Below are 13,910 nucleotides of genomic sequence, written 5' to 3'. Positions count from 1 at the left end.
GCTGGGATTATAGTCGTGAGCCCCTGCGCTCAGCCTCAAAGTGCACTTTCTTTGTGAACAACAACATCTACCTATATTACGTGTTTTAGATCCAACTATTCGGAGCAAATACAAAAAGAAAGTATGTACAAAATATTTTAAATATGTAAAATAAATAAATGTTCACTCGAACAGTATTTATTTGAACCCAAGCTCAATAATTTTTTATTCTTTATTTCCACAAATTTTGAACCCCCTTGTATCTATTATGATGTCCCCTCCCCTATTTGTAAATGACAACTGGCTGAACATCTTCATTCACATATTTGCCAACCCAAACAAAAAACTTACATGTTTGAATCTGGAATCCAGTGTGGCCCTGCTGGCGCCAGCCCTGCAGGTGAGGTGTCTTATGATTTGTTTGCTGGCTTCAGACTTTCCTGATCCCCTTTCTCCACTAAGGAAAACAGAGAGGAAAAACATAAGTTTGAAGGAACTTTGCTTCAAAGCTTGTTCCTTTGTTCCTTTGAAACTACTTTGAAGGAACAAGTAAAAAAATTAACTGGAGATATTTCTCAGACACAGAAATGAGGAGGGAATGGCACATCTACTTGCAATGAGTTTGTGGTCTCCGTTCACACTTCAATTTGATTCATTTGTCTGAAATACCCAGTATATGTTGACTGTGTCATGTCCCTGATGGTGTTTCAGATGCTGGCATTACAAATGAATATGACACAAGTTCTGCCATTCAGTATCTCACAGGGTAGAACCACCTAGTGTAGGTGAATTATGCCAGAAAGGTGTCAGGCTGAGAAGAAGACATAACCAACTTGACTCAGCTTAGCAAGTCAACATAAAGTGAGGCGATCCCGAGACAGCATGCTGTGTTGAGACATGCAGGCTCACACATGGCCTTGGGAAAACTGTTCATGCTTCATGGGCCTTACAGGAGAGACGTTACCTCTTCTGTGGAAAAGCTGTGACATCTTTCTGAGCATTCCTTCTCTGTTCTTTGAAATGAACATAAAGTGCCTAGCTACAAAAACTAAGGCAGTAAGGTCTTCAGATGTGGATCTGTCATTCCGCAGATCCTACTAAACCTGACCTGCTTAGGTTTCCTTTTCCGCTTGCTTTCAGTTCTGATGTTCTCTAGTTTGCATTTTTCTTTAATCTAGGAAAGATCACTGAACTTTTATTTATAAGGGCATCACTTTTAATACATCCCAGGCATACTTCATTAACTCACCCAATTTTTAAAAATGGTAAATATTATATTCCTGACACTATATGATATAGGATTGACATAAAATTCCCACAAAATAATTATTATTTCAAAGTGATGTGATCTACAATAAAGTTATTACTTCATCCAGATGAAAAATTCATAAAAACAGCCTTTACTTATTTGGTAACCAGAAAAACTTTTTAAAGCCCTTTTAGGAGAGCTTCCTTGGTTTTCTGCCTGGAAACATCTATTTTAACAAAGTTAATTAACAGTGTTTGCCAGAAAAGAAGTAAGTTGAAATTTAATTATTTGTTTAAAGTGTCGAGTCGTTAATGGATGCTTCCACTCACTTGTGCAGACTTTTGAACTACTGGGGCCTAAGAGTATCAACAAATGAGGTATTAAGTTAATATTAGAAAACAAAATGAAATTTTTTCTGGTCTGGTACTGAGTTTTGGGACATCCATTCCAGGACTACTTGCGTTTTGATTGCTAAATCTTAAATTACCCTTTGTAAGTGCTCGTTCTGGGACACAACTGACACTCAATAATGATCCGTTAACAACTTATTAAGTTGAATTTCAAATGGCTAATTTTATCATATTCGTAAAAATGGAGAAAGCATGTATCTTAGCCCACACAATCAAGGATGTGGCAAAGCTGTATGAAAGCACACACAATTTTGAAAGAAGAAAGAGAATCACTAAAACAGTAAGTCCTAGTAACCAGAGATTTGCTCTTCCATTCTGTATATCAGGACTAGCGATACCGAAAGGAGTTCTCCAGCTTGCTTCAGGCAGACAGTCAGGGAAGGGTCCCCCGAGAAGCTCCGACCCGCCCCACGAGTGCTTACGTCAGATGTTTTGTGCCGATAAGGGAACTTGCACAGGGGGCTTTGCCTAAACAAGCCTGCGGTGGAAGAGTCCGTTCCTTAGCACACGTGCAGCAAGGGAAATCAATCAATATGGAGCAGCTCGGCCTCAGCATGCGCACTGGAAGGACGGGGGGTGGAGCCGCCAGCAGTTTGCGCCCTAAGCTCTGGTGGTATTCAACTGAGAAGGGGGCACCAGGCACCCTGCTTCAGGACCCCTCTCTGCTGAGAGCTTCCCTTTCGCATAATAAATTCTACTCCACTTACTCTCTCGTGTCCGCACGCCTCATTTTTCCAGGTCGTGAGGCAAGAACCTGGACGTAGCCGAGCTAAGGAGCAAAATCCTGCATCAACACCTTCTTGAAACTTGAATGAAGAGGTATTTTTTCAAAATAAGGGGTTGGTACAGGGAATCATTAACTTTAAAAAATGACCCAAAGGAGGGCCGGGCGCGGTGGCTCACGCCTGTAATCCCAGCACTTTGAGAGGCTGTGGTGGGCGGATCACAAGGTCAGGAGATCGAGACCATCCTGGCTAACACGGTGAAACCTCGTCTCTACTAAAAATACAAAAAATTAGCCGGGCGTGATGGCGGGCGCCTGTAGTCCCAGCTATTCGGGAGGCTGAGGCAGGAGAATGACGTCAACCCGGGAGGCGGAGCTTGCAGTGAGCCCAGATCGCGCCACTGCACTCCAGCCTGGGCGACAGAGCGAGACTCAAGACTCCATATCAAAAAAAAAAAGACCCAAAGCAAAACTAGTTCTGCAGAATATATACTGGATAAAAAGTTCCATGAGCAAATACCTGTCAAAACTGTTGGGTTAAACTAAGATAAACGGGGTTCTTCATAAGAAAACTTGCTGGCCGCTGTGTGCCATCTCCCGGGCGGACTCCCAAAGCGCATGGGCCTGCTGCTCCTCCTTTTCTCCCCTTAGAGCCTTGCTCAGGACCCACGCTTTCAAAAACTGACCTATAACAGCTGCAATGATCATCCTAGAATTAAGTGGGAGCACTCAAAAGTTATGTAAATTCTAAAGAAATAAATAATACATAGAAATAATCTAGTCAAGGGTCTGGCAGCCAGTAAATTCTCAATAAACATTAGTTGTTATTGTCAACAGTGTTAAACTCTCCCTGTCTCACCAATTGACAGTGTTTTTTCTAAGCAACTTTTAAAAAGTTTTCCCTATTTATCAAAGGAAGACCAGGAAACTGGACAGACAAAGCAGATAAAAATAGGGTTGCCTGAGTCTAGAACGGGTGGAAGCCCCCATCTCTGCGCCTTTCTCATCCTTGAGTCCAGAATGAGTGGCCAGGTACAGTAGCTCACACCTGTAATCCCAGCACTTTGGCAGGCCGAGGCAGGTGGATCACCTGAGCTCAGGAGTTCGAGACCAGCCTGACCAACGTGGTGACACCCCCGACTCTACTAAAAATACAAAATTAGCCGGGCGTGGTGGCACATGCCTGTAATTCCAGCTACTCAGGAGGCTGAAGCAGGAGAATCACTTGAACCCAGGAGGCAGAGGTAGCGGTGAGCTGAGATTGTGCCATTGCACTCCAGCCTGGGCAACAAGAACGAAACTCCGTATCAAAAGAAAGAATGGGTGGAAGCCCCTGCCTTGGTGCCTTTCTCATCCTTGAGTCTAGAATGGGTTGGAGCCCCCACCTCAGTGCCTTTCTCATCCTCGTGTCTAGAATTGGTGAGAGCCCGTCTCAGCGTCTTTCTCTTCCTTTGAGTTTAGAATGGATGAGAGCCCCTGTCTCAGCATCTTTATCACCCTCGTGTCTAGAATGGGTGAGAGCCCCTGTCTCAGTGCCTTTCTCATCCTTGTGTCTAGAATGGATGAGAGCCCCTGTCTCAGAGCCTTTCTCATCCTCATGTCTAGAATGGGTGAGAGCCCCTGTCTCAGCGCCTTTCTCATCCTTGAGTTTAGAATGGGTTGGAGCCCCCGCCTCAGTGCCTTTCTCATCCTTGTGTCTAGAATGGGTGAGAGCCCGTGTCTCAGAGCCTTTCTCATCATTGAGTTTAGAATGGGTGGAAGCCCCTGCCTCGGTGCCTTTCTCATCCTTGTGTCTAGAATGGGTTGGAGCCCCCACCTTGACGCCCTTCTCATCCTTGTGTCTAGAATGGGTGAGAGCCCCTGTCTCGGCGTCTTTCTCATCCTTGAGCCTAGAATGGGCAGAAGCCCCTGCCTCAGTGCTTTTCTCATCCTTGAGTCTACAATGGGTGGAATTCCCTGCCTCAGCGCCTTTCTCATTTTTGAGTCTAGAATGGGTGGAATCCCATGCCTCAGTGCCTTTCTTATCCTAGAGTTTAGAATGTGTCGAAGCCCCTGCCTCAGCACCTTCCTCATCCTTGGGATGCATCTGAACCCAGCACGAAAACAACCGCTAGCATGCTGCTTTGAAAACTAGAAAACTAAAGTGTGCGCCCATCAGTCTGTCCCTCCACCCTCCATAGAATTTTTGATGAAATGCATATAAACATATAAGCTCTCATTTTAATATTTAAATAAGCCTTTTGAATTCTATCCAGGTTCTAACTTTATACCATTTTCATTTCACTTTGACTCGAGTTGTGTGCTACTGTACTTATCCGTTGAGTTCCAACCAGCACTACTGACAACAACTAAGGCGCTACCGTGAGTGAGTATTTATAGAGCTTTCCCTCCCTTGTAGAGGTTTGGCTGAATATAAAATATAGGTCTCTGATGCAGATTTTAACATTTAAATGTTTCTTTAATTTTCTATTAATTGGTGAGTTAAATCTAGCATTACATTTCAAATTCAAAAAATATTCTGGGCCAAATGCAGTGGCCCATGTCTGTAATCCCAGCACTTTGAGAGGCTGTGACAAGAGGATCGCTTGAGCCCAGGAGTTTGAGACCAGCCTGGGCAATATAGTGAGATCTCATCTCTACAAAAATTAAAAAATTAGCCAAGTGTGGTGGCATGTGCCTGTAGTCCCAGCTACTTGGGAGGCTGAGGTGGGAGGATCACTTGAGCCTTGGCTGCAGTGACTGGTGATCATGCCACTAAATTCCAGCCTGGGTGACAGAGCAAGACCCTGTCTCAAAAAAAAAAAAAAAGTTTAGGAAGTAGAGTACAGTGAATTGTGAGCAAAGGTAAATAACAAGAAACAGGCTGAGAAAACATACCTTTGGAAAGAAATAAAATGATATTTGGGGCAGCCCTGGATTTTGAAGAACAGTGGCTTAGGTTCCGTAATATTGGTAGTTTTTCTTTCTCCATGTTTTCTTAGGTTCAAAAGCAAAAACTTTTTATCTAAGCTTTAAATCTTCAAAAGGAAATGAGTTTCAGGTTAAGTTTATTAATATTGATCCAGCTACACTTGGGGCTACTCCTAACAGCCAAGATGTTTCTCCTTTGTAACGAGTCAAATGTACTTATTGCAAAGATATACTGGACCTCAAGGTGCTGAGAAAGTAAATAAAGGTAAACCATAGGAAATGAGTACATCTTTACTGCCAAGCCCCGTGGCAAACCTGAGCCTGGCAGACAAGGTTGAGGAGGACTCACCTGAGGATGAAACACTGAGGCCGCTGTTCCCGGAAGAGCTGGTGAAAGGCTCTCTCCACACAGGAGAAGAGGTGAGGAGGCAGCGAGGAACACAGCTTCCCTGAGGAGCTGAAATACAGCTGGGACACCTGGAAAACAGGGCAGCAGCAAGGGGAAAACCTCAGTGAAAAGGCGCCAGTATTCCTCATCCCATAATGAGAGTGACTTCTGTCCAAGATACAGAAGTGAATGAATCCCTAATTCTGAATCTCATTGGTATGTAAAAACATTTGTAAAATTACACCCTTCTCAGCACATTTTCAGCATGCATAATGACAAAATGGAGGCTTATACTTTATCCTTCATTACTTGGTCCACAGGCTTTAATTATTCTGCTGTCTTTAAGAAGAGCAACTCACAAAATATGTTCTTTAATAGATATCTGTGCAGTAAGCTGAAACTGTGGTAATTTACAACAAATACAATTTCTCTCAGCAGTATTTAATTTCAATACCATAAGATAGCCAAGGTTTTAAACTTGAATGTGAGAGGCAGTTGCAGCTGAAATGCATATAAGTTTACAAATTTCTCAGAAAAACAAAAATTAATTAATTTTAGAGAAACGGTGATTTATAATTATTGCCATAATGATTCATTTCCAGTAGTTTTAGTCCTTTTAAATTTCTAGTAAATTTTATTACTTTAGAATAAAAACTCAAGAGTAGGAAGACTTCTTAGTTGTGAAGAAATCAAAGTTATTTTTATTGTACAAAATAACTGGCCTGTATCTTCAAAGATGTCAAGGTCAGAAAAGTCAAAAGAAGACTGCAGAACTGGTCCATACTGAAGGAGAGTCAAGGGCATGGTGGTTCAAAATGCAACGTGCAGCGCTGGCCTGAATCTCTAGCTCTATGGGCATTACTGAGACAATGGGAAATCCTGAACGAGGTCTCTTGATTCAGTGACACCAGTGCATCAGTAATAATTTTCCCATTTTGATGACTGTAGGGAGGTTACACAGGAGAATACCTTTGTTTAAATACACAGTAAACATATTTAAGGTTGATGGGACCACATGCCAGAAAAGTATTTTAAAATGCTTGATGCTCAGGGATCTGCTATTAGTCTGATGGGCTTCTCTTTGTGGGCAAACTGACCTTTCTCTCTGGCTGCCCTTTACAGTTTTTCCTTCATTTCAACTTTGGTGAATCTGACAATTATGTGTCTTGGAGTTGCTCTTCTCAAGGAGTATCTTTGTGGCATTCTTTGTATTTCCAGAATTTGAATGTTGGCCTGACTCGCTATGTTGGGGAAGTTCTCCTGGATAATATCCTGAACAGTGTTTTCCAACTTGGTTCCATTCTCCTCGTCACTTTCAGGTACACCAGTCAGACATAGATTTGGTCTTTTCACATAGTCCCATATTTCTTGGAGGCTTTGTTCATTTCTTTTTACTCTTTTTTCTCTAAACTTCTCTTCTCACTTCATTTCATTCATTTGATCTTCAATCACTGATACCCTTTCTTCCACTTGATCAAATCGGCTACTGAAGCTTGTGCATGAGTCACGTAGTTCTCGTGCCATGGTTTTCAGCTCCATCAGGTCATTTAAGACCTTGTCTATGCTTTTTATTCTGGTTAGCCATTTGTCTAATCTTTTTTCGAGGTTTTTAGCTTCTTTGCAATGGGTTCCAACATCCTCCTTTAGCTCGGAGAAGTTTGTTATTACCTATCATCTGAAGCCTTCTTCTCTCAACTCGTCAAAGTCATTCTCCATCCAGCTTTGTTCCATTGCTGGCGAGGAGCTGCGTTCCTTTGGAAGAGAAGAAGCGCTCTGATTTTTAGAATTTTCAGCTTTTCTGCTCTGGTTTCTCCCCATCTTGGTGGTTTTATCTACCTTTGGTCATTGATGATAGTGATGTACAGATGGGGTTTTGGTGTGGATGTCCTTTCTGTTTGTTAGTTTCCTTCTAACAGTCAGGACCCTCAGCTGCAGGTCTGTTGAAATTTGCTGGAGGTCCACTCCAGACCCTGTTTGCCTGGATATCACCAGCAGAGGCTGCAGAAAAGCAAATATTACAGAATGGCAAATGTTGCTGCCTGATCCTTCCTCTGGAAGCTTCGTCTCAGAGGGACACCTGGCTGTATGACGTGTCAGTCATCCGCTACTGGGAGGTGTCTCCCAATTAGGCTACTCAGGGGTCAGGGACCCACTTGGGGAGTCAGTCTGTCCGTTCTCAGATCTCAAACTCCATGCCCAAGGTAATTTATAGATTCAATGCCATCTTCATCAAGCTACCAATGACTTTCTTCACAGAATTGGAAAAAACTACTTTAAAGTTCATATGGAACCAAGAAAGAGCCTACATTGCCAAGACAATCCTAAACCAAAAGAACAAAGCGGGAGGCATCATGCTACCTGACTTCAAACTATACTACAAGGCTACAGTAACCAAAACAGCATGGTACTGGTCCCAAAACAGAGATATAGACCAATGGAACAGAATAGAGCCCCCGGAAATAATACCACACATCTACAACCATCTGATCTTTGACAAACCTGACAAAAACAAGAAATGGGGAAAGGATTCCCTATTTAATAAATGGTGCTGGGAAAACTGGCTAGCCATATGTAGAAAGCTGAAACTGGATCCCTTCCTTACACCTTATACAAAAATTAATTCCAGATGGATTAAAGACTTAAATGTTAGACCTAAAACCATAAAAACCCTAGAAGAAAACCTAGGCAATACCATTTAGGTCATAGGCATGGGCAAAGACTTCATGACTAAAACACCAAAAGCAATGGCAACAAAAGTCAAAATTGACAAATGGGATCTAATTAAACTAAAGAGCTTCTGCACAGCAAAAGAAACTACCATCAGAGTGAACAGGCAACCTACAGAATGGGAGAAAATTTTTGCAATCTACCCAACTGACAAAGGGCTAATATCCAGAATCTACAAAGAATTCAAACAAATTTACAAGAAAAAATCAAATAACCCCATCAAAAAGTGGCCAAAGGATATGAACAGACACTTCCCAAAAGAAGACATTTATGCAGCCAACAGACACATGAACAAATGCTCATCATCACTGGCCATCAGAGAAATGCAAATCAAAACCGCAATGAGATACCATCTCACACCAGTTAGAATGGCGATCATTAAAAAGTCAGGAAACAACAGGTGCTGGAGAGGATGTGGAGAAATAGGAACACTTTTACACTGTTTGTGGGACTGTAAACTAGTTCAACCATTGTGGAAGACAGTGTGGCCATTCCACAAGGATCTAGAACTAGAAATACCATTTGACCCAGCCATCCCATTACTGGGCATATACCCAAAGGATTATAAATCATACTGCTATAAAGTTACGTGCACATGTATGTTTATTGCGGCACTACTCACAATGGCAAAGACTTGGAATCAACCCAAATGTCCATCAATGATAGACTGAATTAAGAAAATGTGGCACATACACACCATGGAATACTATGCAGCCATAAAAAAGGATGAGTTCATGTCCTTTGTAGGGACATAGATGAAGCTGGAAACCATCATTCTGAGCAAACTATTGCAAGGACAGAAAACCAAACACCTCATGTTCTCACTCATAGGTGGGAATTGAACAGTGAGAACGCTTGGACACAGGGTGGGGAACATCACACACTGGGGCCTGTCTGGGGTTGGGGGAGTGGGGAGGGATAGCATTAGGAGATATACCTAATGTAAATGATGAATTAACGGGTGCAGCACACCAACATGGCACATATATACATATGTAATAAACCTGCACATTGTGCACATGTACCCTAGAACTTAAAGTATAATAATAAAAAAAAGGTTGATGTTAAAAGTTGCCTGTACAATTTATCTACACATTTTACACACATTTAAAATTATAGCAAAAATAATTTTTAAAGTAGAATACATGATCCACAATGAGAGTTAACTGGATGAATCTCACAATGTTGAGTGTGAGATACATAAAAGAACACACTGTATGTCTTCACTTACATCAAGTACAAACACAGGTAACCAATCCTTGCTGTTAGAAGTCAAATTGGCAGTAGCAGGGGAAGTGCTAATGTTTAAGGGACTTCTGGAGTGTTGATAATGTTCTGGAGCTGAGTACCACCCACCTGCATGCTTAGCAACATAAGCACTTTCCTACAAACATTACACCTCAACCAAAACTACAAAAAACTGAAGTCATCACACAGTGTGGTGCTGGTGCAAAGACTAGATAAATGGATCACAGATCACTTGAAACAGACTAGATAATTCAGTGCAACCCTACATGTTGGTGAAGATGAAATGGGAGAGTTCCCTAATCCTGCTCGCAGGATGTGTGACGGGGTGTGGCTCATCTGTTTGGCCACTGTGTGTGCTCAAACCCCTTATGGGAGGGGGAGCATGCAGATGGGCAGGTACAGGAGCCTGGGCCAGCACCTTTGGGCTTTGGCCCCATAGTAGCGTCTAGGGGTGGGTGCCTGCAACTTCTGAAGCCCAAGTGGGCATGTGTTACAGTGTACTCTTTTAGCTTTGCTGTCCATGGACAGCTTAAGTGTTAAACAGTTCAATGGACCTTCTGCCTTTTTTGCAAGGGCAGAGGGCCAGTGTGACAGCTTTCTGTATCCTAAGCTCTTGTCTGGCATCCAGGAAAAATCAGATCACACACGGACTTGAAGGATGGTGAATGCAGGGGTTTTATTGAGTGGTGGAGGTGGCTCTCAGTGGGATGGATGGGGAGCTGGAAAGGGGATAGAGTGGGAAGATGATCTTCCCTGGAGTTTGGCCATCCAGTGGCCTATCTCCTCTCCAACCATCCCTAGCTGAACTCCTCTCAACATTCAGATGCTCCTTCTCTTCTCTCCTTCTCTGCCACTCTTCTGCTCTTCTGTTCATCTGCTTGTGGAGTCTGGTGTTTGGGGGTACAGGATGGGGTCATGGTGGGCCAAAGGCAACTTTTTGGCACGAAAACAGGAATATCTGTTCCCATTTAGGGCTGTGGGTTACCAGGCTTGAGGGTGGGGCCTTTGCCGGGGAACTGCTCTCTTCTACCCAGTGTCTCCCTGCCTCCTGTCCTTATCAAAGATACAGTGTATGACCAACCAGGCTGCACCACCTATCAGTGGTAAAGGGTGCTGCTGAGAGGACTAATCATCTATTTAGGTAAAGAAAACAAGTGTTGATCTCTATTCTGTAGCATGTTTAAAAATTACTTACAAGTGAATTTAAATCCCAGATATGAGCAGCAAAGTTTAAAGCATTTAGACAAGCATATAGAATGGTACTCTCATGATTTGTATGTAAACAAGGAAATAGGATTCAAAAATATAAATTATAATGAGAATGATGGAGCGATCTTACTACATTAAATTTAACAAGCACTGGTCAACCATATAATAATAGAAAATAAGCAAAGACAGAGAAGTGTATAAGCTGTGCATGTAATCAATAGATCAGCAGCAATTTAAAACATATTCCTACAAATCAATTTAAAAATGGAACTATAATACAAATTCGGGCAAAAATATAAACTAAAAAGATGGAAAATAAATATGAGAAAGGTTGGAAAGCTCTCTCGTGCTATTTCAAACTATAAGATGCTATATTACACACAAAATCCTAGCAGAATTAATCATAGTTTAGTCATAATGACAATAATAGCTTACAGGCACTCTGTGCATGGTGCTGTCCTCAGCACCTCACAGGCACTCACTCATGCAGTCCTCCAGAACCTATGACTGGAGTCAGAGAAGTATTTCTATGTTTACAGGCAAGAGAATTGGTGCCAACAGAAGTCAGTGACAGGCCCAAGGGGACAGGGCTAGTTGGTGGCAGAGCTTGATTTCCAAATGAAGTTGTCTCTTGGGCTGGGAAAACAAGTCTATACTACTGAGTCTTGTAGTTTTAACTAATTGGAAGAATCATCTGGCAATATCTTCTAAATTTGAAGATTCATGTTCAACTGGGAATATCTCTGTTGAAACTCTCAAACATGAGCAAAAAGAGCATTTATAAAACAATTCTTAGGACTCTTTGTAAGAGCAGAAAATACAGAAATAAGTTAAAAGTCTATAATAAAGATTAATAGACAAATATAACCGGTTGTGTGTCGTTACAAGAAAATTCTAGAGGGACTTTAGAATAAATTAGGTCTCAAATTTTCAAGATGGAAAATTTTTGAAAGCGTGAGGGCTGATCAACAGCTTTTTTGTAAAAGAATACAGTTAATGGCTGGGCGCGGTGACTCACGCCTGTAATCCCAGCACTTTGGGGGACTGAGGTGAGCAGATCATGAGGTCAGGAGATTGAGACCATCCCGGCTAACTTGGGAAAACCCCATCTCTACTAAAACTATAAAAAATTAGGTGGGTGTGGTGGCACACGCCTGTACTATCAGCTACTTGGGAGGCTGAGGCAGGAGAATCGCTTGAACCTGGGAGGCAGAGGTTGCAGTGAGCCAAGATTGTGCCACTGCACTCCAGCCTGGGCAATAGACTAAGATCTCATCTCAAAAAAAAAAAAAAAGAGAGAGAATATAGTTACTATGTTATGAGTTAATTAAAATATAAAAAATAGTGGTATACCCACTTTTTGAATGTATATATGTGTTCATGTATATAGTAAACATATAAAACACTGGATGGAAGGATAACTTCAAGATAACCATTATCACTGCTTACGAAAATAAGTAGGTTGAAGTTGAAGTGGTACTTACCCTATGTTTATAGAACAATATGTCATCTATCTAAGACATCATATAATTAAAACATACTGTTATTTTTTGTACCACTCAGAAAATAAATGTTACAGTTAAATTAGGACACAGTGTTTTCTTACCATACCCTTAAAGATGCATCCCAATCACAAAAGTACATGTGAAAAAAAAATACAGCACTTTTAATTTTAAATGTTTTTAAAAGAGATATGAAACCAATATGGGTGGTGGGCACACAACTGTCTGTTGCATTCTGCTTGAACTTTTTTCATTTTTAATTATTCCAGAAGTTGCAATGAATATTAAGAATAATTAAATGATAGTGATATACACATTATAATTCATAAAACTGAGGAGTTTTAGTCCAGCTTGTCCAGCAGATCTAATTTCTGTTCTTGTTTGAAAACTTGTACTAACACTGTTTCACTCCTCCCCAAGTCCAACATAGACTTAGACTCTCATGTGACAAAATGTTTTTCAACTCTCTATTTTGTAAATGAGAATTTCATTAGATGTTCAACAGACACAAGAGACAGCCTGGATTATGCATCCATCTGTGTGTACATGGGATTCATTTCTCTAACATTTTTTCGTTTTCATTTTTTTGAGACAGGGTCTCGCTCAGCTGCCCAGGCTGGAGTGCAGTGGCCCAAGTACAGATCACTGCAGACTCCACCCCCTGGGGTCAAGCGATCCTCCTGCCTTAACCTCCCAAGTAGCTAGGACTACAGGTGGCTAGGGTTTTCAATTTAAAAACCCTAGGCCACAGCTGGCTAGGGTTTTTAAATTTTATTTATTTAAATCTATTTGGGCTTAGATATTCTCTTTATGCCAAATTTTACTAGAGAGTAGATGTGGGTGATGAGCCTTGAGTGTCTAAAGAAAGTTATTTCCTGATAAACTCATAACCTCTCTCAGCTCCCCTTTCTTGTAAGTCTCTTTCCCATGCAGTGTTACAGTTCATGTTGTGGAATAGTCCATTACTACCACCTGGCAACACATTACCTGATGCCAATTCTATGCTTTATACATAATATAATTATGGAAATAATAATGACAGTGTAATTCTATAAAACTTTGAGGATTTCCACTTATGCAGTCCCTGTTTTCTGAGTGACTGACAAGCCATCTAACTTTTTTATTGGTTACCCTTCTCATAGTTAAAATTGCACTTTCTCATTGGGTCCAGCGAATATCATCAGGGCCAGACACTTCCTTCCCCACCTGTCTTTTCTCTTCACTTCACTGTCTTCTTTCCTTATTTGTATCAATTGAAACAAGAGGATTCTTGGTCAGGGGATATTTTAAACACTCCATTTTAGCTCATAGGTGAGATGACAAGCACTCAGTCTTGCTAATCTTAGATGGACTCTAGTTCCAGATAACAGGTTCCTTCCTTCTTAATGGATAAAGTCCCTCCTTTTCTTCACTGGTCATTATATTTCTCCATAAACCACTAGCAGATTGCAGAATCCTGCCATGTTAATTTCTAAAGCCACCAATGCTTCCACAGCTTATGAGACAGCCACTGAGCCACTGGCCTCCATCTCTGGCGAGCCTAGAAACTTTGTGGAACCTCCCA

At 41.5% G+C, this 13,910-nt stretch overlaps 1 protein-coding gene across 6 annotated transcripts in view; it reads right to left on the bottom strand.

Moving 5' to 3' along the window:
• MYO16 (myosin XVI) overlaps positions 1–13,910 on the bottom strand; it is a 712,290-nt gene that overhangs the window by 319,198 nt on the left and 379,182 nt on the right. For 5 of the 6 annotated variants that reach the window (XM_011521062.2, XM_047430183.1, NM_015011.3 and 2 more), the window contains exons 13-14: positions 5,622–5,749; positions 331–436 (exon numbers count right to left, since the gene is read on the bottom strand). In XM_011521062.2, the coding sequence (XP_011519364.1) occupies positions 331–436; positions 5,622–5,749 (234 nt within the window). Of the gene's footprint in view, positions 1–330; positions 437–2,345; positions 2,747–5,621; positions 5,750–13,910 lie in introns of those variants that run through there. The other variant, XM_047430184.1, reaches the window with a different exon arrangement.

This window comes from Homo sapiens, chromosome 13 (genome assembly GCF_000001405.40).
Source record: "Homo sapiens chromosome 13, GRCh38.p14 Primary Assembly".
In the NCBI taxonomy this organism is placed as follows: Eukaryota; Metazoa; Chordata; class Mammalia; order Primates; family Hominidae; genus Homo; species Homo sapiens.
The sequence above is the reverse complement of the archived record's forward strand: the minus strand, read 5'-3'. Positions and strand labels throughout refer to the sequence as shown.